This window comes from Homo sapiens, chromosome 10, assembly GCF_000001405.40.
Source record: "Homo sapiens chromosome 10, GRCh38.p14 Primary Assembly".
NCBI classification, from domain to species: Eukaryota; Metazoa; Chordata; class Mammalia; order Primates; family Hominidae; genus Homo; species Homo sapiens.
In genome coordinates this window covers 27563709-27588941 of record NC_000010.11, presented here as the reverse complement: position 1 = coordinate 27588941, position 25233 = coordinate 27563709, and the positions used below count along the sequence as shown (strand labels likewise).

At 39.4% G+C, this 25233-nt stretch overlaps 1 long non-coding RNA gene across 3 annotated transcripts; it reads right to left on the bottom strand.

Moving 5' to 3' along the window:
* Positions 1 to 4940: 4940 nt before the first annotated feature.
* Positions 4941 to 22755, bottom strand: LINC02680 (long intergenic non-protein coding RNA 2680). 3 transcript variants are annotated; one of them, XR_007062094.1, is made up of 3 exons: positions 22005 to 22755; positions 19009 to 19155; positions 4941 to 10571 (listed from the first exon to the last, which is right to left on the bottom strand). It is a non-coding gene; the product is annotated as a long intergenic non-protein coding RNA 2680 (long non-coding RNA). The 3 variants fall into 3 exon arrangements; XR_007062095.1 differs by lacking the exons at positions 19009 to 19155; positions 22005 to 22755 and adding an exon at positions 15086 to 16189; XR_007062096.1 differs by lacking the exons at positions 19009 to 19155; positions 22005 to 22755 and adding an exon at positions 11178 to 11367.
* Between the last annotated feature and the right edge of the window lie 2478 nt (positions 22756 to 25233).

Genomic DNA, 25233 nt, shown 5'->3' with positions numbered 1-25233 from the left:
TGAATGTTGGCCTGTCTTGCTAGGTTGGGGAAGTTCTCCTGGATAATATCCTGAAGAGTGTTTTCCAACTTGGTTCCATTCTCCCCATCATTTTCAGGTACACCAATAAAATGTAGGTTTGGTCTTTTCACATAGTCCCATATTTCTTGGAGGTTTTGTTCATTCCTTTTCATTTTTTTCTCTAATCTTGTCTTCCCACTTTATTTCATTAAGTTGATCTTCAATCTCTGATCTTTCTTCTGCTTGATTGATTTGGCTATTGATACTTGTGTATGCTTCATGAAGTTCTTGTGCTGTATTTTTCAGCTCCATCAGGTCATTTGTGCTCTTCTCTAAACTGGTTATTCTAGTTAGCAATTCCTCTAACCTTTTTTTCAAGGTTCTTAGCTTCCTTGCATTGGGTTAGAACATGCTCCTTTAGCTCAGTGGAGTTTGTTATTGCCCACCTTCTGAAGCATACTTCTGTCAGTTTGTCAAACTCATTCTCCATCCAGTTTTGTTCCTTTGCTAGTGAGGAGGTGTGATCCTTTGGAGGAGAAGAGACATTCTAGTTTTTGGAATTTTCGTCTTTTTTGTGCTGGTTTTTCCTCATCATCTTGGATTTATCTACCTTTGTTGTTTCATGTTGGTGATCTTCGGATGGGATTTTGGTGTGGATGTCCTTTTTGTTGATGTTGATGCTATTCTTTTCTGTTTGTTAGTTTTCCTAACAGTCAGGGTCCTCTGCTGCAGGTCTGCTGGAATTTACTGGAGGTCCACTCCAGACACTGTTTGCCTGGGTATCACCAGCCGAGGCTGCAGAACAGCAAAGACTGCTGCCTGTTCCTTCCTCTGGAAGCTTTGTCCCAGAGGGGCACCTGCCAAAAGCCAGCTGTCCTGTATGAGGTGTCTGTTGACCCCTGCTGGGAGGTGTCTCCCAATCAGGTGGTACGGGGGTCAGGGACTCACTTAAGGAGGCAGTCTGTCCCTTAGCAGAGCTTAAGCACTGTGCTAGGAGATCCACTGCTCTCATCAGAGCTGGAAGGCAGGAATGTTTAAGTCTGCTGAAGCTGCACCCACAGCCCTTCCTTCCCCCAGGTGCTCTGCCCCAGGGAGATGGGAGTTTTATCTATAAGCCCCTGACTAGGGCTGCTGCCTTTCTTTCAGAGATGCCCTGCCCAGAGAGGAGGAATCTAGAGAGGCAGTCTTGCTACAGTGACTTTGCTGACCTGCAGTGGGCTCTGCCCATTTTGAACTTCCTGGTGCCTTTGTTTATACTGTGAGGTGAAAACCACCTACTCAAGCCTCAGTAATGGTGGATGCTCTTCCCCCCATCAAGCTCAAGCATCCCAGGTCAACTTCAGACTGCTGTGCTGTCAGTGAGAATTTCAAGCCAGTGGACCTTAGCTTGCTGGGCTCCATGGGGGTGGTATCCACTGAGCTAGACCACTTGGCTCCCTGGCTTCAGCCCTCTTTCCAGGGGAGTGAACAGTTGTGTCTCACTGGCATTCTGGCATCACTGGGGTATAAAAAAAACTCCTGCAGCTAGCTCGGTGTCTGCCCAAACAGCCGCCCAGTTTTGTGCTTTAAACCCAGGGTACTGGTGGTGTAGGCACCCAAGGGAATCTCCTGGTCTGTGGGTTGCAAAGACCATGGGAAAAGTGTAGTATCTGGGCTGGAATGCACTGTTCCTCACAGCACAGTCCCTCATGGCTTCCCTTGGCTAGGAGAGGGAGTTCCCCAACCCATTGTGCTTCCCAGATGAAGTGATGCCCCACCCTCCTTTGGCTCACCCTCCATGGACTGCCCCCACTGTCTAGCCAGTCCCAGTGAGATGAGCTGGGTACCTCAGTTGGAAATGCAGAAATCACCTTCTGCATTGATCTAGCTGGTAGCTGCAGACTGGAGCTGTTCCTATTCGGCCATCTTTGTACCATATTTTCTTTATCCAATCCACCACTGATGGGCACCTAGGTTGATTGTGACTAGTGCTGCAATGAACATTTGAGTGCCAGTGTCTTTTTGGTAGATTTCTTTTCCTTTGGGTGTATATCCAGTAATGGCATTGTAAGAGCAAATGGTAGTTCTGTTTTGAGTTCTTTGAGAAATCTCCAAACCGCTCTTCACAGTGGCTGGACTAATTTACATTTATTAATTTACATTTCTGCCAACAGGGACTGGACTTTTAAAATCTGAAAATGTGACCCTTCTCATGGCCAAAAGCGAGCCAAAGATCGTGGAATCTGCCAGGGATGTTATCAATGAGCAGGGAGAGAGGGACTAGAAAGAGCTTGCTTAAAGGCACTGGTCAACAAAAAAAAAATTATGGCATTTCCTGATTTACCCAACTCTGTTTAACCCATTAAATAAGTCAGTTACACGGGATATATTCCTCATTAGTTTTTTGTTTTGTTTTGTTTTGCTTTGTAAGACTGCTTACAATACAGAACCCAACTATTTATCATAGTAACACTATGAACTAAGATGTGATTTGCAATGAAACTAGCAGCTCACAAACATGACACACGATACCCCTGCCTCACATTCATAGCCCCAACAACCACTAATGCATGCTAAAAGTTTGCTTTCATTCTATTCCTTAATTTCTATACCTTTCATTTTCCTGATAGAGGCATCCAGAATTTGTAACCACAGTTGACACTGATTTATTTATGGCTCGCTTTGAGCTGGATGATTTGGGGAGGCCTGAAGATCTTTAGGGCAACAGAAATGCATGATTGCAAACTTTAGTGCTAGCCAAAGCTTTAAGAGTCTCAAATTTTTTATCAACATATATCATTGTCAAATATATATAAACGGTATTTAAAACTCATGAATAGATTATTCCCTCTGGCTTTACATTAACTTCCCCTTCTAGTATAGAGCTATACCTTAGATCTCTTAAAAATTTTCTTCAAGTTTACTTTTTATGTTCAAAACATGATATTAACTTCACCATTCACCCAAGTAGATGCCATTTGCTCAAGGTGACATATTTGTCCCCTTTGGTGCCACACTCAGATCATCTAAAAGCATCACTGCTTCCCCAGAGAGATGCTTTTATTCACCAAGTAATTCTTTGCACAGTTATTAAGAGCAAGTCTGAACACTGGGAATAAATAGCAGACAAGACAGTCTCTACCTTTATGGAACATTCATTATAGTGGGGATAGTTAGTCAGTATAAAACTTGACAAATAAATTGGGACATTTATTAGTAAAGGTTCTCCAGAGAAAAGAGAACCAATTGTGTGGGGAAGGGCAGCGGGGCAGGTAAAGATATTTATTATAAGGAATTGGCTCATGCAATTATGGAGGCTGACAAAGTCCAAAATCTGCAAAATTGACATCCCAGTTTGAGTGCAAAGGCCAGCAGGCTGTTGCAGAACCAGTCAGAAGGCCACCAGGCAGAAGAATTATCTCTTGCCCAGGGAGGTTAGCTTTTTGTTGTATTCAGGCCTTCAACTGATTGAATAAGGCCCACTCACATTATGGAGGGCCATCTGCTTTACTCAGCCTACCAATTTAACTGTTTGTTCATCTCAGCCAGGCACCATGGCTCATGCCTGTAATCCCAGCACTTTGGGAGGCCAAGGCAGGTGGATCACTTGAGGCCAAGATGTTGAGACCAGCCTGGCCAACATGGTGAAACCCTGTCTCTACTAAAAATACAGAAAATTAGGTGACCCATGGTGGCACATGTCTGTAGTCACAGCTACTCAGGAGGCTGAAGCAGGAGAATTGCTTGAACCCAGGAGGCGGGGATTGCAGTGAGCCGAGGTCATGCTACTGCACTCCAGCCTGGGCGACAGAGCAAGATCCTGTCCTGAAAATAATAAAAATAAAAATAAATGTTAATCTCATCTAAAAACACTCTCACAGCAACACCCAAAATAGTGTTTGACCAAATATCTGGTCACCCCATGGCCCAGTCAAGTTAAAACACAAGATTAACCATCACAGGAGATCAAAAACAAGCAAGTTGAAAATAAAGAATATGTTTTATGACTGTCAGGCTCAGAGGAAATAAACTCAGCGATTTTAATCTCATGGTGGTATGAGAGAAAATGAATGGGAAGGGAAGGGGCCAATTTTAGGCATGTATTTAAGTTACAGTGGTGTCCCAAACTTTAAATACCTCAGTATCCAAATGCCATATTGTGGCTGATTACTTACATCAGGTCTTATTTATTTGGTGCCATGCATATAACATCTGTTAAAATGTTTTTTTGGAGTCAGTGGAGTTGCCTTCTTAAGGCCCCAGGGTTTTATGTCCTTATTTCACTCATATTACTCGTGGCAATTCCGTGCCTGATGGATTCAGGATGCTAGCAGCCATGCCAGCCTCACTCCAGGTTCAGATGCCTTCTTTGATTGTAATGGATTTAATTCAAGCCCACCATAAAATAAAATGTTCATGGTCAGTGTACATAAGGATGCTATAAGAGAAATATTTACACATTTAAACTAACATATAGAATCCCTTTACAACCCTCATGTTTAGTACAAAAATAACATCATTACATAGAATAAACAGGACTGAATCATTTTCCAAATTCTGGGCCTCCATAAATACTAGTATGCATTCTTGGCTCAATGTTATAATCTTTGCTGGTAACTTTATGTCATCTAATAAAAGGCATATTATTAAAAGGCTTTGGGCATGACCCATAACTCATGATATGTCTTGAATGCATATCATCATTATTGAGCATGGCAAATCTTTACATTCTTTTCATACTCCCTCCGTTCCCCCTTTTTACACCTGCACTATTCAGAAGGCCCACTGAAGTCAAGAGACTTATTTTCTGGCTTTCTCTTTTTTTTAAGAAAAAGTTTATTAGAAAATAAAATCACACTAAAGAATTTTTACAGCATATGTAAAAGATATAGCTACAATAATATAGATAACCATGTATGTTAGTTTTCTATTGCTGTGTAACACATTACCACAAACTTAGCTGCTTAAAACAACATCCATTTATTAGCTCACAGTTTTGTAGATCAAAAGTTCAGCATGGTGGGGCAGGGATTCTTCCCAAGGTATCACAAGGTGGACATCAAGGTGTCAGCTGGGCTGAATTCCCATCAAAGGCTCTGGGGAAGAATCAGCTTTCAGGTTCACTTTTGTTGACAGAATTCAGTTCTTTGCAGTTTAGGATTTAAGTCCTCATTTCCTTGATGTGTGGTCCGCTCCAACTTCAAGCCAGCAACCGCACATCAAGTCCATCTTATGCTTTACATCCCTGACTTCCTAGTCTGCAACTAGCTGGAGAAAATGCTCTGCTTTTAAAGACTTCAGGTAATCGGGTTTGGCCCACCCAGATAATCTCATTTTTTATTAACTCACAATCAACTGATTAGTAGCCTTAATTACATTTGCAAAATCCCTTCTGCAATATTCCATGATATAATCACAGACATAATGCCAGGGAGCAGAAATCATTGGGGCCATCTTAGAATTCTTCTTACCACACTTTGAATCCAACACCCAGGGAAAAAGATGGAAACATAATTAAAATTATAAAACCTTTAGAAGAAAGCATAGGAGAAAATGTATGTGGCCTTAGGTTAGACAAAGATTTCTTCAATAAGATACCAAAAAGCACAATCCATATTAGTATAAATTGATAAATTGGGCTTCATCAAAATTTGAAACTTCTGCTCTTCAAAATATACTATTGAGAGCATAAAGATGGGTGTTAACATGTGACATGAAATAAGAAAAAAGAGTATAAAAAGGCTACAGACTTGCAAATCATATCTGATAAAGGACTTGTACCTAAAATACATAAAGACCTGTCAAACTTCAAAAATAAAATATCTCGATGAAAAAAACTCATAAAATTTCAACAGACATTTCACCAAAGAAGATAAGCTGATGGCAAATAGCCGCATGAAAAGATGCTTACTATCATTGGTTATTAGGGAAACACAAATTAAAACTACAGTGGGATACCATTACTCACCTACTAAAATGGCTAAATTAAAAGGGTGAATGGGTAAAGAAGCTGCTATGTGCACACAATGGAACGCTACCCACCAATAAAAAGGAATGGCCTATTGATACATGCAACAATAAGATTGTTAAATCTCAGAATAACTATTCTGAGTGAAAGAAGCCAGACCAAAAGAAGTATATATTATTTCATTTATATAAAATTCTAGACAATGCAAACTAATCTATATGAACAAGAAACATGGCAGTGGTTGCCTGGGGTGATAGGGAGGATCAGAAGGGAGGGATTAGAATGGAGCAGGAAAAACCTTTTGGGGATTATGGCTATGTTCTTTATCTTGATGGTAATGATGGTTTCATGAGTGTATAAATATGTTAAAACTGATGAAATTGTTCATTTTACATATGTGCACAATTATACCTGAATAAATCCATTGAAAATACAATAAAAAACAATATACTCTGAATTTTATGAATTAAAAAATAAATTGAACAAATTATTCACCACTTTCCTGAGCACATACAAACAGATACACATCACAGAAGACATCTGTGTTTGTTTTTCTAATGAATCTCAGGTGAACACAACTGAATAAATCAAAACCTTTGGTTTATGGTACACTGTCTTCATTGGTTCATGCATAATTCTTTTTAATTTATGTTATTTGCTTACATATGTATTTATTATAATATTATAAATAGTCATTAGTGCCTGGCCAATTGGAGAGCCATAACTCTGATCATCACATCTCTTCATTTCATTCCCCAGCCTTCAAGTCCTGCTCCCAAATGACCAATCACCCTGAATTTTCTATTTAGCATTCTGTTAATTTCTTAGGATATTTTTATCTGATGACTAAAATAAATAGTTTTGTATGTTCTTTGAACTTAAAAAATATATATTTCATTCTCATAACAATATTGTTCATGATAACCAAGAGGTGAAGGCAACACAAATGTCCATCAACAGATGGAATAGATTTTAAAAATGTGGTACCTACATACAATATAATACTATTCAGTCTTAAAAAAGAATGGGGCCGGGCGCAGTGGCTCACACCTGTAATCCTAGCACTTCGGGAGGCTGATCGCTTGAGCTCAGGAGTTCAAGACCAACCTTGGCAACACGGCAAAACCCCATCTCTACTAAAAATAAAAATAATTAAAATAAAAAAAGGGTATTCTATCACACGTTACAGCATGAATAAACCTTGAATATTATGCTAAGTGAAATAAGCCACTCCAAAAAGACAAATACTATAAGATTCTATTTATATAAGATATCTACGATCAAATTCAATGAAACAGAATAAAACAGTTACCAGGGACTAAAGGGTAAAGGAAAAGTGGAGGTTGTTGTTTAACAGGTATAGAGTTTCAGACTGACAACATGAGAAAGTTCTCAAGAGCTGTTTCACAACAACGGGCTATACTTACTACTGAAATGGATACTTATAATGGTCGAGATAGAATACATAAGCAGAACATGCATGAAGAAAAAAAAAAGATTAAGATAGTAAATTTTTTGTAAAATGATTTTTACCATAATAAAAAACAAATAAGCAAGCAAAGCAAAAAACAAAGTATCATGCTAAATACAGTCGTTTTTCGCTGAACATGACCAAATTATTATTCACATTATTGTATGTGGCTGTAGTTAATTTATTTTCACAGCTGTAAAATACTAATTTTCCCTTTTGCACTTTCTTTGATTTATTTTGATGGCTTATTTTGCCTGACTCATTAACTTTCAGCATTTTTTTTTAATGTATGCATTCAGCCTGGCACAGTGGCTCACACTTGTAATCCTGTAATCAGTACTTAGGGAAACAAAGTCTATCAAACACCTTTTTCCTTTTGTCTCTTGTTTGGTACATTAGGAGTCTTCACAATCTGAAGTCTTTCCTACTTCTTTAATTCTGGAGAAAGTTCCTCGTTGTATCTTTAAATATTTTCTTTTCTCCATCATTATTTTTCTCTCCTTCTGGAATCATTTTTCTGTAAAAGTTAGCACCTCTACTTCTATTCTCCATATCTCTTAACTTTTCTTTTGTATTTTCTATTTCTTTGTCTTCTCCTATTTTCTTCTTGGGATGGTTTTTCCATCTGTTCTAGCTCATCAGTTGGGTCTTCACCTGTATCCATTCTACTATTTATACCATCTTCTATGTTTCTTATTTTAATTATCTAATTTTTCATACCTAATATTTGTACTAGGTTCCTTTGTTTTTGTGTTTCTGTTTCATATTGAAAATTTCTCTTTCCCCTCTGATGTAGTTTAGATATTTGTCCTCTCCAAATCTTAAGTTGAAATGGGATTCCAAATATTGTCCAGTATGTCCATGTTTTGTCCATTATGTCTTTTAATCTATATAATAAATTTATTTAAATATTTTCATCCATGTGTTCTAATACTTCCAGGGATCTTTGTTTTGTTGTTTTTCTTTCAAGATAATTAAGTTCCATAAATATTTCATTATTTTGGCTAATGAAATAATTCTCTCCCAGGGATATCATATAGGGTATGCTGAGAAAGGGCTCAAACGCCTGCAGAAACCCACACTTGGATCTCTCATTCGAAGTGAGTACAAGGAGTGAACAGGCATGAGCCTTAGGGTAGAAAGTCTCAGGCATCATAAAACCAAAATTAATCACCCTCCTTTGTCACTAAGCAACACCTTCAGATCAAGACTTGCATGTTAGAATCACTTGGTAAGCTCTGAAAACGATGATGCTGAGGTCATCAGCCTAGGTCAGTTACATCAGAATCTCTGCCGGTGCGACCCAGGTAAGAATGATGGCAGTATAATAGTGGGAAGTGGGAGAGTGTGGCTCCCAGGGCTACACAGTCTCCAGATTTTTTCCCAACTCCTCACCTGATAGGTGTGTGTACCACCTTTGGGTCTTTGTCACTGGTTTCTGCAGGAAGCAGTTATCAATAATAATTGCACAGCAAAGAACGATCGGCAAGAACTGAATTTTTCAAACTTTTCTTTAAACCCCTCATAGCCCAGATACCCTCTGCCTCAGACCCTAGCCACTAGGCACCCATCCACAAACCATAACCACCACTTCATTTCAAAACTTTCTTCCATTTCCATAGGAGTTTCTCCTTTGTGGGTGTTGTTTGTATTCTCTAGCATCTATATTTTTTCTCTATAATATGATTTATCCAGTTAATTTTAGAGAAAGGAGCCTGCCAAAATCAGGAGGAACTATCTCTCATCAATTTTAAGGCCACAAGTTTACATTCCCAATAAACAAATATTTTTGAAACCTCCAAGCATTTCTATTGAAATAATTAGCTCCCGATGAGTCCATATCCATGCACATGTAATTAACAATTTCCCTTTCAGAAGGCATGCTTCCATTTTGGAAAAGGAAAAGGTTAGCTTCATAGTCAAAATACCTGTAGTTAAAACAAAATTTAAACTGACACATATCTCTCATTCTTGACATCTCTACGAAATCTTTTACTCTCATCAAGTATATTTCTATCCTACTCTGGGTACCAATATCTCTCGTCATTATCCTTTTTGATAAAAGTGAAAAGAGGATGTCTTTATTATTGATATGCTTCATTCTTCACCGTTGTCCCAAATCCCACCAGGTTTTAAAAATAGTATAGGTCTTAGAAATCTACTCTATATACATCCTTATCTTTCTCTAGTCAACTTAGAATGTTTAGCGTGTGGGAAAATTTCCCTTTCGTCTCTAATAGAATTCAGATATTAATAATGTTAATATTTTCCCCCTCCAAATCTTATGTTGAAATGTGATCCCAAGTGTTGGAGGTGGGGCTTAGTGGGAGGTCATGGGGGCAGATCCCTCATGAATGGCTTGGTGCCCTCCCCACAGTCATAAGTTCACATAAGATCTGGTAGTTAAAGATTCTGGAACTTCTTGCACCCTCTGTCTTGCCTCCTCTCTTAAGGTGTGCCACATCCAGCTCCTCTTGCCTTCCACTATGACTGTACGTGTCCTGAGGCCCGCATTAAAAACTGATGCTGGCACCATGCTTCTTGTGCAGCCTGCAGAACCATGAGTCAAATAAGCCTATTTTCCTTGTAAAATTACCCAGTCTCTGCTATTCCTTCATAGCAGTGCAAAATGGACTCATATATCCTTTATAAGACTAATTGCCTCTAAAATCTCCTGCTCCCTTGAAATCACACACAGGTTGGCTAAAAAGCCACATGCTATTCTTTTCCAGACATTTGTAGTCTATGTTTCTATGCTGCGTAAGAAATTACTGCAAACATGGGAGCTTGAATCAGCACACAATTATTACCTCAGAGTTTCTGCAGGTCACACATCTGGATACGGCATAGCTTGGTCCTCCTCAGAAGGTCTTACAAGGCTACATTCAAGGTGTTGGCCAGGACTGGCTCTCAACTGGAGGCTCAGCTAGGGAAGGATTTGCTTCCCAATTCCTTTTGGCAGCAATGAGCTCCATGTGGCTTTAGGAGTTCTGGCAGCTTGCTTCTTCACAGCCAGCAAGGGAGAGAGAACGTCTGTGGAGCCAGCCAGCTAGCAAGACACAGTCATATAACATCACATAATCATGGGAGTGACGTGCCATTCCATTTGTCATATTCTGTTGTTTAGGAGCAAGTCATGGGTCTGGTCTACACCTAAGAAGAAAACAATTACACAAAGGCCTGAATACCAACAGGAAGGGGTCGTGGGACCACCTTTAAGTTTATCTGCCACACCACTACTACGTCAATCCCATAAAATTTCATCTCCCCCAAGCCAATGGACCTACCTCCCAGACCTCCTGATGTTTGGTAGAAGATAACTCTCAGCAGGCTAGAAACATTTGGGGATTTTCATTCAGTAACTGACAAGGAGTGACTGCTTTCTACTTTGATTTAATTATAATATGTCAAAAATTAAATGTCCAGGGATTATTAGGATTTAAGTTTGGATGTATGCAATGGAGACATGAAATAAAGTGACTTAAACCAAACTGAGTTTTATTCCTTTCTTGCAGAAGAGTCCAGAATTAAGCCACTCAAGGGGCTCTATTCCTCGGAGTTACCAGGGACCATGGCTGTTTCTATCTTGTTGCTCTGCTATCCATACAGCATTGTCCTCATGACGTGGTCCAAGACGGTTTGCTGTCAGGTTTATATTTTAGTAGGATACAGGAAGGGAGGAAGGCACATACTGGAAATTTTGTGCACTACTTGCCCTTGAATCTTTTTGACAAATATCACTTATGTAGAAGTACCTACCAAGGGAGACTAAACCATGTAGACTTTATTCCGAGTAGTCATGTCTTTGGCCAAAAGATCAGAGATTCTCTCACCAAAGGAAAATAAATCAGGAGAAATAGAAACCAGAAGACAACCAGGATTAGTGAACTCCACGAAAGTAATTATTTTTTATTTTATTTTATTTTGTTTATTCATTTACTTATTTATTTTGTACAGATGGGGTCTCACTGTTGCCAGGCTGGTCTTGAACTCCTGGCCTCAAGTAATCTTCCTGCCTTGGCCTCCCAAAGTGCTGGGATTCCAGGCAGGAGCCACCACAATCTGCTTAACGTGAATCTCTTTTTTTTTTTTTTTTTTTTTGAGATGGAGTTTTGCTCTTGTTGCCCAGGCTGGTGTGCAATGGCATGATCTCGGCTCACTGCAAACTCTGCCTCCCAGGTTCAAATGATTCTCTTACTTCAAACTCCCAAGTAGCTGAGATTACAGGCATGTGCCATCATGCCCAGCTAATTTTGTATTTTCAGTAGAGATGGAGTTTCATCATGTTGGCCAGGCTGGTCTCCAACTCCTGACGTCACATGATCTGCAGGCATGGCCTCCCAGAGTGCTGGGATTATAGAAGTGAGCCGCTGTGCCCGGCCCTAATGTGAATCTTAACTCCACTTAGGAATCATTTTTCTCCCGGTTTTCCCCTCAGTTAGCTAAAAGAAATCCTTTTATTGAAATATCACCAGACCTACTACATGGCCCAATCAAATTGTGCTCCCTAAAATGAAGTATTTTAAGAACAAAATAAAATATTTTATTTTAAAATAAAAATTTTAAAGGCATTCATTTATTGGACAACAGGGTCAAAGGAAAACGCAAAATGTGTGCCACGATGCTGATCGCAGTTTAATATTTTGGGTTTTCCCACATCCTTTTGGCTTCAGAATTAGGACCTGCCCTTCCCACGTCTCTCCCCTCCATTGTGCTTTCATTGGAAACAGGGATTTACTTCTCTTTGGTTATTCTGAGACCTACAGAGAATAGGACTGGGACCTATTTTGAGAAGTAAAATAAAATAATATTATGAACTGAAATGCTTTTGTGGTCCACTTAGCAGTGATTGGGCAAGAATTTCATCTTAATTTTTTTGTAGTGCTTATGATTTGAGTGCATTTTGGACACATGTTACATTTGCATGGCTCTCCAGGTGACATAATTACAAATTCCTGAACGCTTGATTCTTGGTTGCTCTATGCACCTGCAGAGGAGCCCTAAAGTCATGTGGGAATATAGACGTGTAACATAACAAAGGTATTGAGATACAACCCTAAAAGTTGATAGTGGTTTGCTCTGAGTAGAGGGATGGGGCAGAATTGGAATAAGTGGAGGAGGTCTCATGTGGAAGGCTAAATAATGCCCCCCACAAGAATGTCCACATTCGAATCCCCAGAACCTGTGAATATATTATCTTATGTGGCAAAAGTGACTTTATAGATATAATTAAGTTAAGGATCTTGAGCTGGGGAGAGACTCTTTGGGTGGGCTCTAAATGTAATCACAAGGATCCTTATAAGAGGTAGGCAGAGGGAGATTTTACAAGGAAGAGAAAGTGAGGTGACACTGAGATCAGAGGTAGGAGAGGTGATGTGGTGTGACCACAAGCCAAGGAATGAGGATATCCCGCAAAAGATGAAAAAGCCAAGGAAATGGATTCTCCCCAAAGTCCCCAGTGAGTGCTGCCTGATTGACTTTCTGATTTTGGCCCAGGGAACTCCATTAAAGACTAATGGCCTTCAGAATTGTAAAAAGAATGAATCCAAGTTGCTTTAAGCCACCAGGTTTATGGTAATTTATATGGTGACTAAAGAAGTCACCAGATAATAGAAAAATGGTAGAAAAGAAGCATTTCTTCTATCGCTGCCTCTTATAGAATTTAGCTTCTCCATGATCTCCATCAATAGGGAACTAATATAGTTTAACTTTTTACCTTGATCCCTCCTAAATGTTTGAGTTTTTTTATAACAAGTATATATTATTTTTATAATTAAAAAGTAATAAAGAGGAAAAATGATAATTTCTCATCATTAAAATGATTATTTTAGCTTGTGAATTTTTTAAACATGTGTATTACATGTCCAAAACTAATTTTAAAATGACCTGAAAGATGCAGATTTACATTGTTGTCTCTTGATCATTCCATAGTCTGAGTCGTACAGGTGGATATGAGTATCATGGGGGCCAACCAGCGCTGGAATTTTGCCTTTGGCAACTTTATTTCTGTTTTTGATGTTATTGTATGTTTTTAGCTTGTTTGGTTTCCTGTAATGATGTTTCTGCTGCCATTATAGCATGCTGGTGGTGTATGATGGTCTACCAAGAAGAGAGGACTATGATTTCAATTGTTTCTCTGCATTAACCAGCCACCAAGAATTTCAATGACTTTTTAAAACCAGGGCCAGGCATGGTGGCTCATGCCTGTAATTCCAGCACTTGGGGAGGCTGAGGCAGGAGGATCAGTTGAGGTCAGGAGTTTAAGACCAGCCTGGGCAATATAGCAAGACCTCGTCTCTTTAAAAATGTTTTAAATTACCTGGGCCTAGGGGTGAATGCCTGTAGTCCTAGATACTCTGGAGGCTGAGGTGGGAAGATTGTTTGAGCCCAGGAGTTCCAGGCTGTAGTAAGCTATGATTGTGCCACTACACTCCAGCCTGAGCAATAGAGCAAGGCCTTGTTCATAAAAAATAAAAATAATGAAAAGTTTCAGATTAAAAAAATTGTAGTGAATATAGGCTTTCATTTGATAAGGGTATTCATAACTTTCCTCCTAGTTTTTCCCTTTGCTACTGCTAGTTCAAAGGTCTAGAAATAGCCCCAAGTAAATCTCATCTAGTTTCTTTCCTGGTCTATTTCTTATCTTAACGACTCAGCCCCTGAAGACTGGGGACATCCCCTAGTACTAAACAGCCCCATGCTTCAAAGAAGTCACCAGATAATAGAAAAATGGTAGAAAAGAAGCATTTGTTTTTCCTTCTATCACTGCCTCTTACACACTTTAGCTTCTCCATGATCTCCAGCAGGAAGATGGGACCACAGTATGTGAGACTCCCCAGTGATCCATGGATGCTTCCAGATGCATCCTTTGCAGTGTTGTTCCCCTCCCTCATCAACAGAATGTCTTTTTCTTACTTCCAAAAATACTGCACTGCTTTCTTAGAAAAGGAAAAGACCCATGACTCTCCCATCTTCCTTCACTTGATCCAAACTGTAATGTATGCAGCAGGAATTCTGTGACATTTGTATAGTACAGTTGGCATTGTTCCTAATTTAAAGACTTGTCTAAGTTTGTCCCCCAGATAGTATTTATTTGATCTTTCTTTTGAGGGCATTTTGGGGTGACAAACCAGGAATCAGTAATATGTAAGCTTACTCTTATACTTTCATATTCCTTGGTTATCTAAACTTTCTAACTTTTCTTAAATGAATCTATATTATTTGTATAATTTAAAAATACATTTTACTTAAATTTACTTAAAAATATTATTAAATTTCATTTAATAGGACTTTCCAATCAATTAATTCCTACAGTAAATATTTGAACTTACAAAATATTCCAGATGATATTAGCTAAGTTCTAATTATCGGTTTAAATAGAGCCTCCTTTGTTACTTTTACTGTTATTATGATAATTATATCAACCAAGCAGAATGCACCTCTGCTCAGGAAAATTTAGGTGAAAATGATAAGATTAATAAGTTGTTATTCTACCCTGAGGTATTCTTCTTGAGTCTTTTCAATCCAGACTATTATAAACAGGAAAAACATCAGCATTTAGATTAACAGCTGGATTTTGTTTAAAATATTTTCTTAATTATAATCTATTTAATTTTTTGCAGTCTAAGGGAGTTTTGATGTTATTGTTATTGGAGAAAATCTCTTACTTGTGTTTCTTATATGACAATCTTGTGTTTCTGGAATACAGAGCTGAAAAATATGGTGGCAATTGCTCTGGAAAGCTTGTCTTCTTACTTGGCTCTTTCAAATTTTGCACCCAAATAATAATTCTCTTTAGGGGTCAGTCCTGAAAAATATATCAAATCTCACCAAATCATGTAGAAATAGAAGTTCCCCAAACTGGAAGAAGCCTAATAAATCTTATTTCTTCTATCAAGCTGTATATTTGTATCCATTAATCAACCTCTCTTAAAACCCCCAACCCCCGAAGATGTGTTTGTTGATATGATGAACAAATCAAGAGAAAGACAAGATGGTTACAAGATTTGGGGCTTGAATGACTGGACAAAAGAAGGTGTTACTTCCTGAGAGGTGGATCCCTGAGCAAAGAGCTATTTGCAAGAAAAATCAAGAATTCTGTTTGCACATGTAACATTTAAGATTTATCAGACAGGGACAGGCCCTTGAAGGTGTGACGTAGAGGTACAAGAGGGTACAAGAAGGATACAAGAGTCTGGAGTTCAGGTAAGAGGGCAAGACTGGAGATATGAAATTGAATTAAAATCAGAGTGGGAGATTTTAACACACTTCCATCTTAAACGGATAGGTCAAGTAGACAAAAAGTTATTCTTGATAGAGGAGATTTTAATGAGACAATGACATGCACACGGACACACACACATGCACACAAACCATAACCATATAATATGTTGTGCACAACTGGGACACATTTGAGGTAAAAGGGGACATAATAATTACGATTAGGCAGCAGGTATAAACTGGGACAAAGAGTTGCAATGCACACATCCCACGTCTTATACCAGATTCCTACAACAATGTTAGAAATTAATAATAAATAGAATCTTCCTCTCCAAAAAAATTAACAGCACAAGTTTGAAAACTAAAAGTCAAAGTGACAAACAACTGATAATTGTAAGATAAACTCACAATGGAAATTTTGAAATTTTGGAATTAAATGGCAGGGAATATATAGCACATTAAAACCTATGAAAACGTACTAAGGTTTTATTTCTGATAAAACTTTTTGCCTGAAGAATTAGCCATTTAATTCAAAGGGCTAGGAGGCTGGGCACAGTGGCTCATGCCTATAATCTAAGCACTTTGGGAGACCAGAGCAGGAGGATAGCTTAAGGCCAGGAGTTCAAGATCAGCCTGGGAAATATAGGGAGACTCCATCTTTACCAAAAAAAAAAAAAAAAAAATCGGCCGGGCGCGGTGGCTCACGCCTGTAATCTCAGCACTTTGGGAGGCCAAGGCGGGCGGATCATGAGGTCAGGAGACTGTTGAGACCATCCTGGCTAACACGGTGAAACCCTGTCTCTACTAAAAAATACAAGAAATTAGCCTGGCGTGGTGACAAGCGCCTGTAGTCCCAGCTACTCGGGAGGCTGAGGCAGGAGAATGGCCTGAACCCAGGAGGTGGAGCTTGCAGTGAGCCGAGATCGCCCCACTGTGCTCCAGTCTGGGCGACAGAGCAAGACTCTGTCTGGAAAAAAAAAAAAAAAAAAAAATTAAAAATCAGCTGGGCATGGTGGTGCACACCTGTGGTACTAGCTACTTGGGAGGCTGGAGCTGAAGGATCAATTGAGCCCAAGAGTTCCAGGCTGCAGTCAGCTATAATTGCACCACTGCACTCCAGCCTGGAACAACACCCTGTCTCTAAAAAAGGGGGAGGGGGTATTAGAAAAAGATTAACGGAGTAAATCTTTTTTAAAAAGTTGAAAGTGAAAACCTTTACAGAAATTAACAAACTAGAAAGCAAATACACACACAAACAAAACAAGAAAAGCAATAACTAGATTCTTTGCAGCTTTTTTTTTAAAAATAGCAAAATACTGGAAACAATTTCAGTACCTATCAGTAAGAGAATAGGTAAATAAAATGTGGCATGTTACTACAATGAAACAGAACGTTGCCATTTAAATGAATAAACTGAAGCTTCGTGTATCCTTATGAATAAATCTCAAAAGCAATGTTGAGTAACAAAATCAAGTTGCAAAATGATAGGTGCAGTATAATGCCATTTATGTAAAGTTTCAAACACACCAAACAATAATGTTTACTTTTTCTTTTTTTTTTTTTCCTAGATGGATTCTCACTCTCTTACCCAGGCTGGAGTGCAGTGGCACAATCTTGGCTCACTGCAACTTCCTCTTCCAGGGTTCAAGTGATTCTCCTGCCTCAGCCACCCGAGGAGCTGGGATTACAGGCACCCATCACCATGCCCAGCTAGCTTTTCCTGCCTCAGCCTCCCTAGTAGCTGGGACTACAGGCACCCGCCACCACGCCTGGCTAATTTTTTGTATTTTTAGTAGAGATGGGGTTTCACCATGTTGGCCAGGCTGGTCTCGAACTCCTGACCTCAAGTGATCCACCCACCTCGGCCTCCCAAAGTGCTGGGATTACAGGCGTGAGCCACTGCACCTGGCCAATAATGTTTACTTTTATGACTGCACAGAAACTTCCTAAGAGGCAAAAGTTTAGATGAGAAAGATGTCAACTTGAGAAGAATGGCCAGACCCACAGAATGGGAAGAGGATGTTCCTGTCATGGAAAGACACAAAGGAGACTTTAACTACATTTGTCCTATTTTTAATAATATCTGAAGTAAATAAGGCAAGTGTTAAGATGTGTTAAATCTGGATCTTAAGCACCTAAGTGTTTGCTATTTTCTATATGTCTGAATTATTTCATAATTTTTAAAAAATTTGTAAAAGAAAAATTGTGTTGCAATCAAGAGCATACATGAAATAATGTTTATTCTGTGAAATTATTTATCATATACTGTCTACTCCTCCTCCTCCTCCTCCTTCTTCTTCTTCCTCTTATTCTTCTTCCTCTTTCTTCCTCTGAGTCAGGGTCTTACTCCATCGCCCAGGCTAGAGTGCAGTGGCACGATCACAACTCTCTACCACCTCAACCTCCCAGGCCCAAGTGATCCTCCCACCTCAGCCTCCCAAGTAGCTGGGACTACAGGCTCACTCCACCGCGGCTGGGTAATTTTTGTATTTTTTGTAGAGATGGGGTCTTGCCATGTTACTCAGGCTGGTCTTGAACCCTTGGGCTCAAGTGATCTTCCTGCCTCAGCCTCTCAAATAGCTGGGACTACAGGTGCATGCCACCACATGGGCTAATTTTTGATTTTTGTAGAGATGGGGTCTCCCTATGTTATTCAGACTGGTCTCGAACTCCTGGGCTCAAGCGATCCTCCCTCCTCAGCCTCCCAGAGTGCTGAGATTACAGGCATGAGCCACCACACCCAGCCCTTCTGTCTTGTTAAGTATTACAAAATGAAATGTCAGCTGGCCTCCCTCCACAATGGAATGACCTTGCTAGGACTTGACACCACTTCCCACTGCTCCTCTATCTGTTCTTTTGCTTCTCTGCCCTTTCTTCAGAGCACAACGTTTTGGAGAGTATATTGGCCAGATCAACAAAAACAACATTAAAAAGTACTCTGTTTCTGATGTTGAGTAAACATGACATCTTTGGCTGATAAGTTTTTAATTCTATCAACAGCTCAGGTTGAATATATTAAATTTGGGCTCTATCATCAGATTTTACAGCTTGAGAAGGAGGCATCTGATAATATACACAGAAAAGCAGGCCATCTGTCAAACATGAAAGCTACACAGGATGCATTGTGCAGCAGCGGGGCTGCCCCGCTCTACAGCTAAGCAGCAAAGCTCTGCCATGTGGTTCCCATCAAAGACCTCAAATGGGAATTTCACATCATAATCTAAAGAGACGACCCTCGATTAAATGCAGGCCCAACACATATACATGTCAGGATTTGGTAGAGGTATTTCTATTGCATAACATATGTAGTCATTTCTGGTACATAAATTGGATTTTTACAGGCCTGTACAGACTCCACAAAGAACCTTACCTTTTTTTCACACTCTTTCTGACAATACTTTGTATAGATGTTGACATTTATCCTTTGAGTTGCAGTAATTGGGTAGTGTGGCTTTTACATTCCTGTAAGGTGGCTTTGAGATACTAGCAGGGAGGAGCAGGAATGAGCCAAGACCAGCTGGAAAAGAGAACGTACGGGCTCAGTAAGAATGCTTATCATTGTGAGAGTATGGAGATAGGGGAAAGTAGGAAGACCAACAGGGAAAGGGTAGAGGAACAATTAGAGACTCTAATGTTCAAACCTAAGATGCCTCATCCTCAGTGCTCCTGAGACCACCCACTGCTGTGCCCCACCAGCTCAAAAAGAGACACACACCTCAGAATAATGGTCTCCCCCAAATGGTCACATCTGTATCCCCAGAACCAGTGAATCTCACATGGCAAAAGGGATTTTGCAAAATCGATTTAGTTAAGGATCTGGTTTGGCTGTGTCCCCACCCAAATCTCATCTTGAACTGTAGCTTCCATAATTCCCACGTGTTGTAGGAGGGACCCCGTGGGAGATAATTGAATCACAGGGGTGGTTTCCCCCATACTGTTCTCGTGGTACTGAGTAAGTCTCACAAGATCTGATGATTTTATAAGCGGTTTCCCTTTTCACTTGGCACTCTCTCATTCTCTTGTCTGCTGCCATGTAAGACATGCCTTTCACCTTCTGCCGTGATTGTGAGGCCTCCCCAGACATGTGGAACTGTGAGTCCATTAAACCTCTTTTTCTTTATAAATTACCCAGGTATGTCTTTATAAATTACTTTATAAATTACCCAGGTATTTCTTTATAAATTACTCAGGTATGTCTTTATCAGCAGCGTGAGAGTAGACTAATACAGTTAAGGACCTCGAGATGGAGATATTACCCTGGATTATCTGGATAGGGCCAATGTATTCACAAGGGTCCTTGCAAGAGAGGGGCAGGAGGATCTTACTCAGAGAAGGGGATGTGATGACAGAAGCAGAGATTAGAGGAAGAGAGAGATCTGAAGACAGTGCTGCTGGTTTTGAAGCTGGAGGAAGAGACCCTAGCCAAGGAATGTGGGCGGCCTCTAGAAGCCCACAACAGCAAGGAAGTAGACCTTCCCCTTGAGATTCCAGAAAAATGCAGCCCTGTCAACACCTTGATTTTAGAACTTCTAACTTCCTGAACTATAAGACAATACATCTGTGTTGTTTCAAGCCACTAAGTCTGTGGTTACTTGTTTGGTAACAACAGGAAACTAACACATGTCTCCATCCCTGGTGAGAAGTTACTGACTTATGACTCCATTCCCTCAACTCTTGATAGCCCTTCCAGTTCTCAAAGTTCATGTTTCTGTGATTACAAACTAGGGGACCATGTGGAAACGTTGTTCTTTTTTCTTTCAATATGTTGACAGTACATTCCTCTAAACAAATTACGAGTCCTGATTTGAAAGATTCAGAGACAAAAACGCTGGGGCCACAGAAATGAGGTAACTTCACACATGAATTGCAGCTGATAAAAAAAAAAATAGCAGACCTGCACCCACAAGACAAGGTACCACTTCCCTAGAGGGAAGCTCAGCTTCATGCACATCCTCTGTGACCCTCCCTGTATAACCTTGGAATCCACATTCACTTCCAGGAATCCAAGCACTTTCAACTTACGGAGGGAATACCTTTCACTTAAAAGTACTGAAATGGTAATCTTCCCTCATCAATATAAACACACATCTAAGAATCACCAGATAGCTGAGAAAATAACAATGTGAAAAAGAATTAACACATGAGGAAACAGAATTTACAAAGGAAACAAGAGAAGACTGCAAAATAATCATTAGTATCCTCAGAGAAAGGAGAAGCTATCACAACAAGAAAAAGTTTCTTTGAAAAAGTGATCAGAGTGGTTGGAAAATAGAAATGATTGTCATCCCCCAACTCCACAGATAAATCTCAATCTGTGGGCTAAGATACAGAAAGGAAATATGTGAAGATTAAAGTGGCGACCTGGAAATGCAAGCTGAGTGATCCTCCAGGATACAGTGCAAAATAAGAAGTAATAAAGTGATGGGGAAAAGGTTAAGAGACAAAGAAAATAGAGAACACAAGTCCACTGAAACCCTAGCAGAAGTTGTGAGGAGAAACTCATAGCAGATACATCTTACTGAAATTTTTGATGAGAATAAAGAAGTTTTCACTACATGTTCTCACTTATAAGTGGGAGCTGAACAATGAGAGCACATGGACACAGGGAGGGGAACAACACACAATGGGGCCTGCCGGCGGTTGCAGGGCCAGAGAGAGCCCCAGGAAAAATAGTTAATGCATGCTGGGCTTAATACCTAGATGAGGGGTTGACAGGTGCAGCAAACCACCATAGCACACATTTACCTATTAACAAACTTGCACGTCCTGCACATGTATCCCAGAACTTAAAATAAAATAAAAAGAATAAAGAAGTTTTCTTGTTACTGATTTCTATTTTGATTCTGTTAAAGTCTGAAAAAATACTCTGTAAGATTTTATTACTAGAAATGTATTCAGACTTGTTTCATGGCTCAGGATATGATACATTTTGGTGAACATTCCATATGCTTTTAAGAATAATGTGGGCAACATGGTGAGACCTCATCTCTACAAAAAATAAAAATTGTCTGGCATGGTGGTACGCACCTGTATTCCTAGCTACTTGGGAGGCTGAGGCAGGAGGATTGCTTGAGCCCAGGAGTTTGAGACTGCAGTGAGCAATCATCATGCCACTGCAATCTAGCCTAGGCAACAGAGCAAGACCTTGTTTTTAAAAAAAACAAAAAGAAGAATGCATATTTTGCAGCTGTTGAGATAATGTTCTATAAAAGAGGTTTATTATGAGAATTAAGTGGATTAATGTGTGTGAAATGACATAATAACATTGAAATATCTCAATAAGCACTAGCTGTTATTTTGCTATTGAAAAACAGTTTTCTTTTTTTAAAGTAAGATAAAAATAGATATCTGATATTCCATATTTACCCACATATTTACCACTTGGGTGTTCTTCATTGCTTTCTGTAATGAAGTTTCCATCTGTCATTACCGTACCCTGAGCTTTCAGCTTTAGATTTGTAGTGTTGATGAGCTGGCAAAAAAAAAAAAAAAAAAAAATCTCTCAGCTTTCATTGATCACAAAATTTCTTCATTCTCTTTTGAATGATATTCTAGATGGATATGATATTCTGGGCAAGCAAATTTTTTTCATCTCAACACATTTAATATGTTGTTCCATTATCTCTGGGCTCCACTGCTCAAATGAGATATAAGACACCATCTGTATCCTTGTTCCTTTGGCTATTTTCAAAATTTTCTCTCTAGCTTTTGATTTTACCTTCAGTTCACTCATCTTCAGTTCATGCTAGTTTCTTTTGCCATCTCTAGTCTACTGGCTAAACCCACCCAGAAAACATTTCATTTCAGATACAGTACTTTTCATTTCTGGAATTTCCATTTGATTTCTTTTATCCATTTCTCCAATAAAATTATAAGTTTGTTTAGTCATTGTGGTCATTTCCCTTTAAGTCTTTGAAGATGACCATAATAGCTCCTTCCAAGATTTTGTCTGGTAATTCAAATATCTCAGCGTTTGTTTGTCTTGACTATGGATTCCATGTTCTTGTTTGTTCACCTTTCTAGTGAATTTCAATTGTGTAAAAGATTAACCTATGCCATGGTTTGAATGTGTCCCCTAAAGTTCATGTATTGGAAACTTGATCCCCAATGTGGAGGTGGTGGGAGATGGGACCTTTAAGAGGTGTTTAGTTTGTAAAAGCTCTGCCCTCATAAATGGATTAATGCCATTATTGTGAGAGTAGGTTTATTATCACAGGAGTGGGTTTCTTTTCTTTTCTTTTTTTTCTTTTCTTTTTTTTTTTTAGATGGAGTCTCACTCTGTTGCCCAGGCTGGAATGCAGTGGTGTGACCTCAGCTCACTGCAACCTCCGCCTCCTGGGTTCAAGCAATTCTCCTGCCTCATCCTCCTGAGTAGCTGGAATTACAGGTGCATGCCACCATGCCTGGCTAATTTTTGTATTTTTCGTAGAGATGAGGTTTCACCATGTTGGCCGGGCTGGTCTTGAACTCCTGACCTCAGGTGATCTGCCTGCCTCAGCCTCCCAAAGTGCTGGGATTACAGGCATGAGCCACTGCGCCAGCCTAGGAGTGGGTTTCTTATAAAAGGATGAGTTTTGTCCCCTCTTGCTGTCTCTCTCATCCATATGATGTATTCCACCACATTATGATGCATAAGAAGGCCGTCACCAGATGCTAGTACTTTATATTGGACTTCTCGACCTCCAGAACTATAAGCCAATAAATGTCTGTTCATTATAAATTACCCAGTCTGTGGTATTCTGTTTTAGCAGCACAAAATGGACTAAGCCTCTTATGAGCTACTCATCTATTACCAAGGATTATTATTTTTGCCTTTTAGAAAAATACACTACTAACAATGTAATAGTTAGACTGAATGATGGAAGGTCAGATTCAGAGAGATCCATTAGAGAATGTTAATGTTACAGATTACAGTGGTAATGGAGAAGTTCAGGTTTTAACGAAGACCTGAACTAAGGATAAGGAACTCTATTTATGTATGCCAAGATGTGGAAAATAATCTAAATGTCCATTGACAGATGAATGGATAAAGAAAATATATGCAAACAATGAAGTATTATTCAGCCTTAGAAAAGAAGGAAATCCTACAGTATGAGACAACATGGATGAATGTGGAGGACATTACACTATGTGAAATAAGGTAGTCACAGGACAACAAATACTTTTTTAGATGCTTCATATAAGTGGTTCCACTTACATGAAGTATCTAAAAATAGCCAAAGCCAAACCCGTACAGAGAGTAAGAAGACTGGTTGCCAGAGGCTGGCGGCGGGGAGGGGGAAATGGGGAGTTGATATTCATTGGGTATAAAGATTTAGTTATACAAGATGAATAAGTTCCAGACATCTGCTGTACAATTAAATGTCTATAGCTAATACTTAAAAGTTTGTTGAAAGAATAGGTCTCATGTTAAATGCTATTACTACAATTTTTAAAAAGAGAAATGCTAGAAATCAAAAACACTGTAAGAGAAATGAAGAGCCTTTGATGACCTTGTTAGTAGACTGAATATGACTGAGGATAGAATCACTAAGTTTGAGGAAATGTCAATAGAAATATTCAAATTGGAAAAACAGAAAACGAAGAAGTGAGAAAGGAACAGAAGAGATTAAGTGAAGCAATAATCATTGAGAATTTTGCTCAAATAAATGTCAGACACCAAACCACAAATCCAGGAAGCTGAGAGGGCACCAAGCAGGATAAATCTCTCTCTCTCTTTCTTTCTCTTTCTCTTTCTCTTTCTCTCTGTCTCTCTTTCTCTCTCACACACACACACAGACACACACACACACATACCCTACATGTAGGCATATCATATTCAAACTGAAGAAAAATCAAAGATAAAGTGTTTCAAGAAGGCAAAAGAAAAAAAAACACTTTATCTCTAGAGGAGCAAAGATAAGAATTACATGTGATGTCTCCTCAGCAAGTAGGCAAGCAAGAATAGAGTGAAGGGAAGTGTTTAAAGTTTTGAGATAAAAGGCCACCAACCTAGAATACTGTACCCTGAGAAATTATTCAAAAGTGAAGGAGAAATGAACTTTCTCAAACAAACAAAAATCAAATTTGTTGCCAGTAGACCTGCCTTGCAAGAAATGTTGAAGCATGTTCTTCAAAGAGGAGGAAACTGATACAGGTCAGAAACTCAGATCTACATAAAGAAAAGATTAGCACTGGAAAATGAATAAGATATGGTTGGACAAAAACTTTTACTTTTCTTATTACTCAGTTTTCTAACCAATAAATGTTCAAAATAATAATAGAGGCTGGGTGCAGTGGCTAACACCTGTAATTCTAGCACTTTGGAAGGCTGAGGTGGGAGGATCTCTTGAACCCAAGAGTTTGGGACCAGTCTGGGCAACACAATGAGACCCTGTCTCTACAACAACACAAAATTAGCCTGGCATGGTGGTATGCACCTGTAGTGCTACTCAGGAGGTTGAGGCAGGAGGACTGTTTGAGCCCCAGAGGTCAAGGCTGCAGTGAGCCATTATTACAATATTGCACTCCAGCTGGGCAACAGAGCAAGACCCTGCCTCAAAATAATAATAATAATTGAAGGGTATGGTGGTATATGTCTGTGGCCTCAGCTACT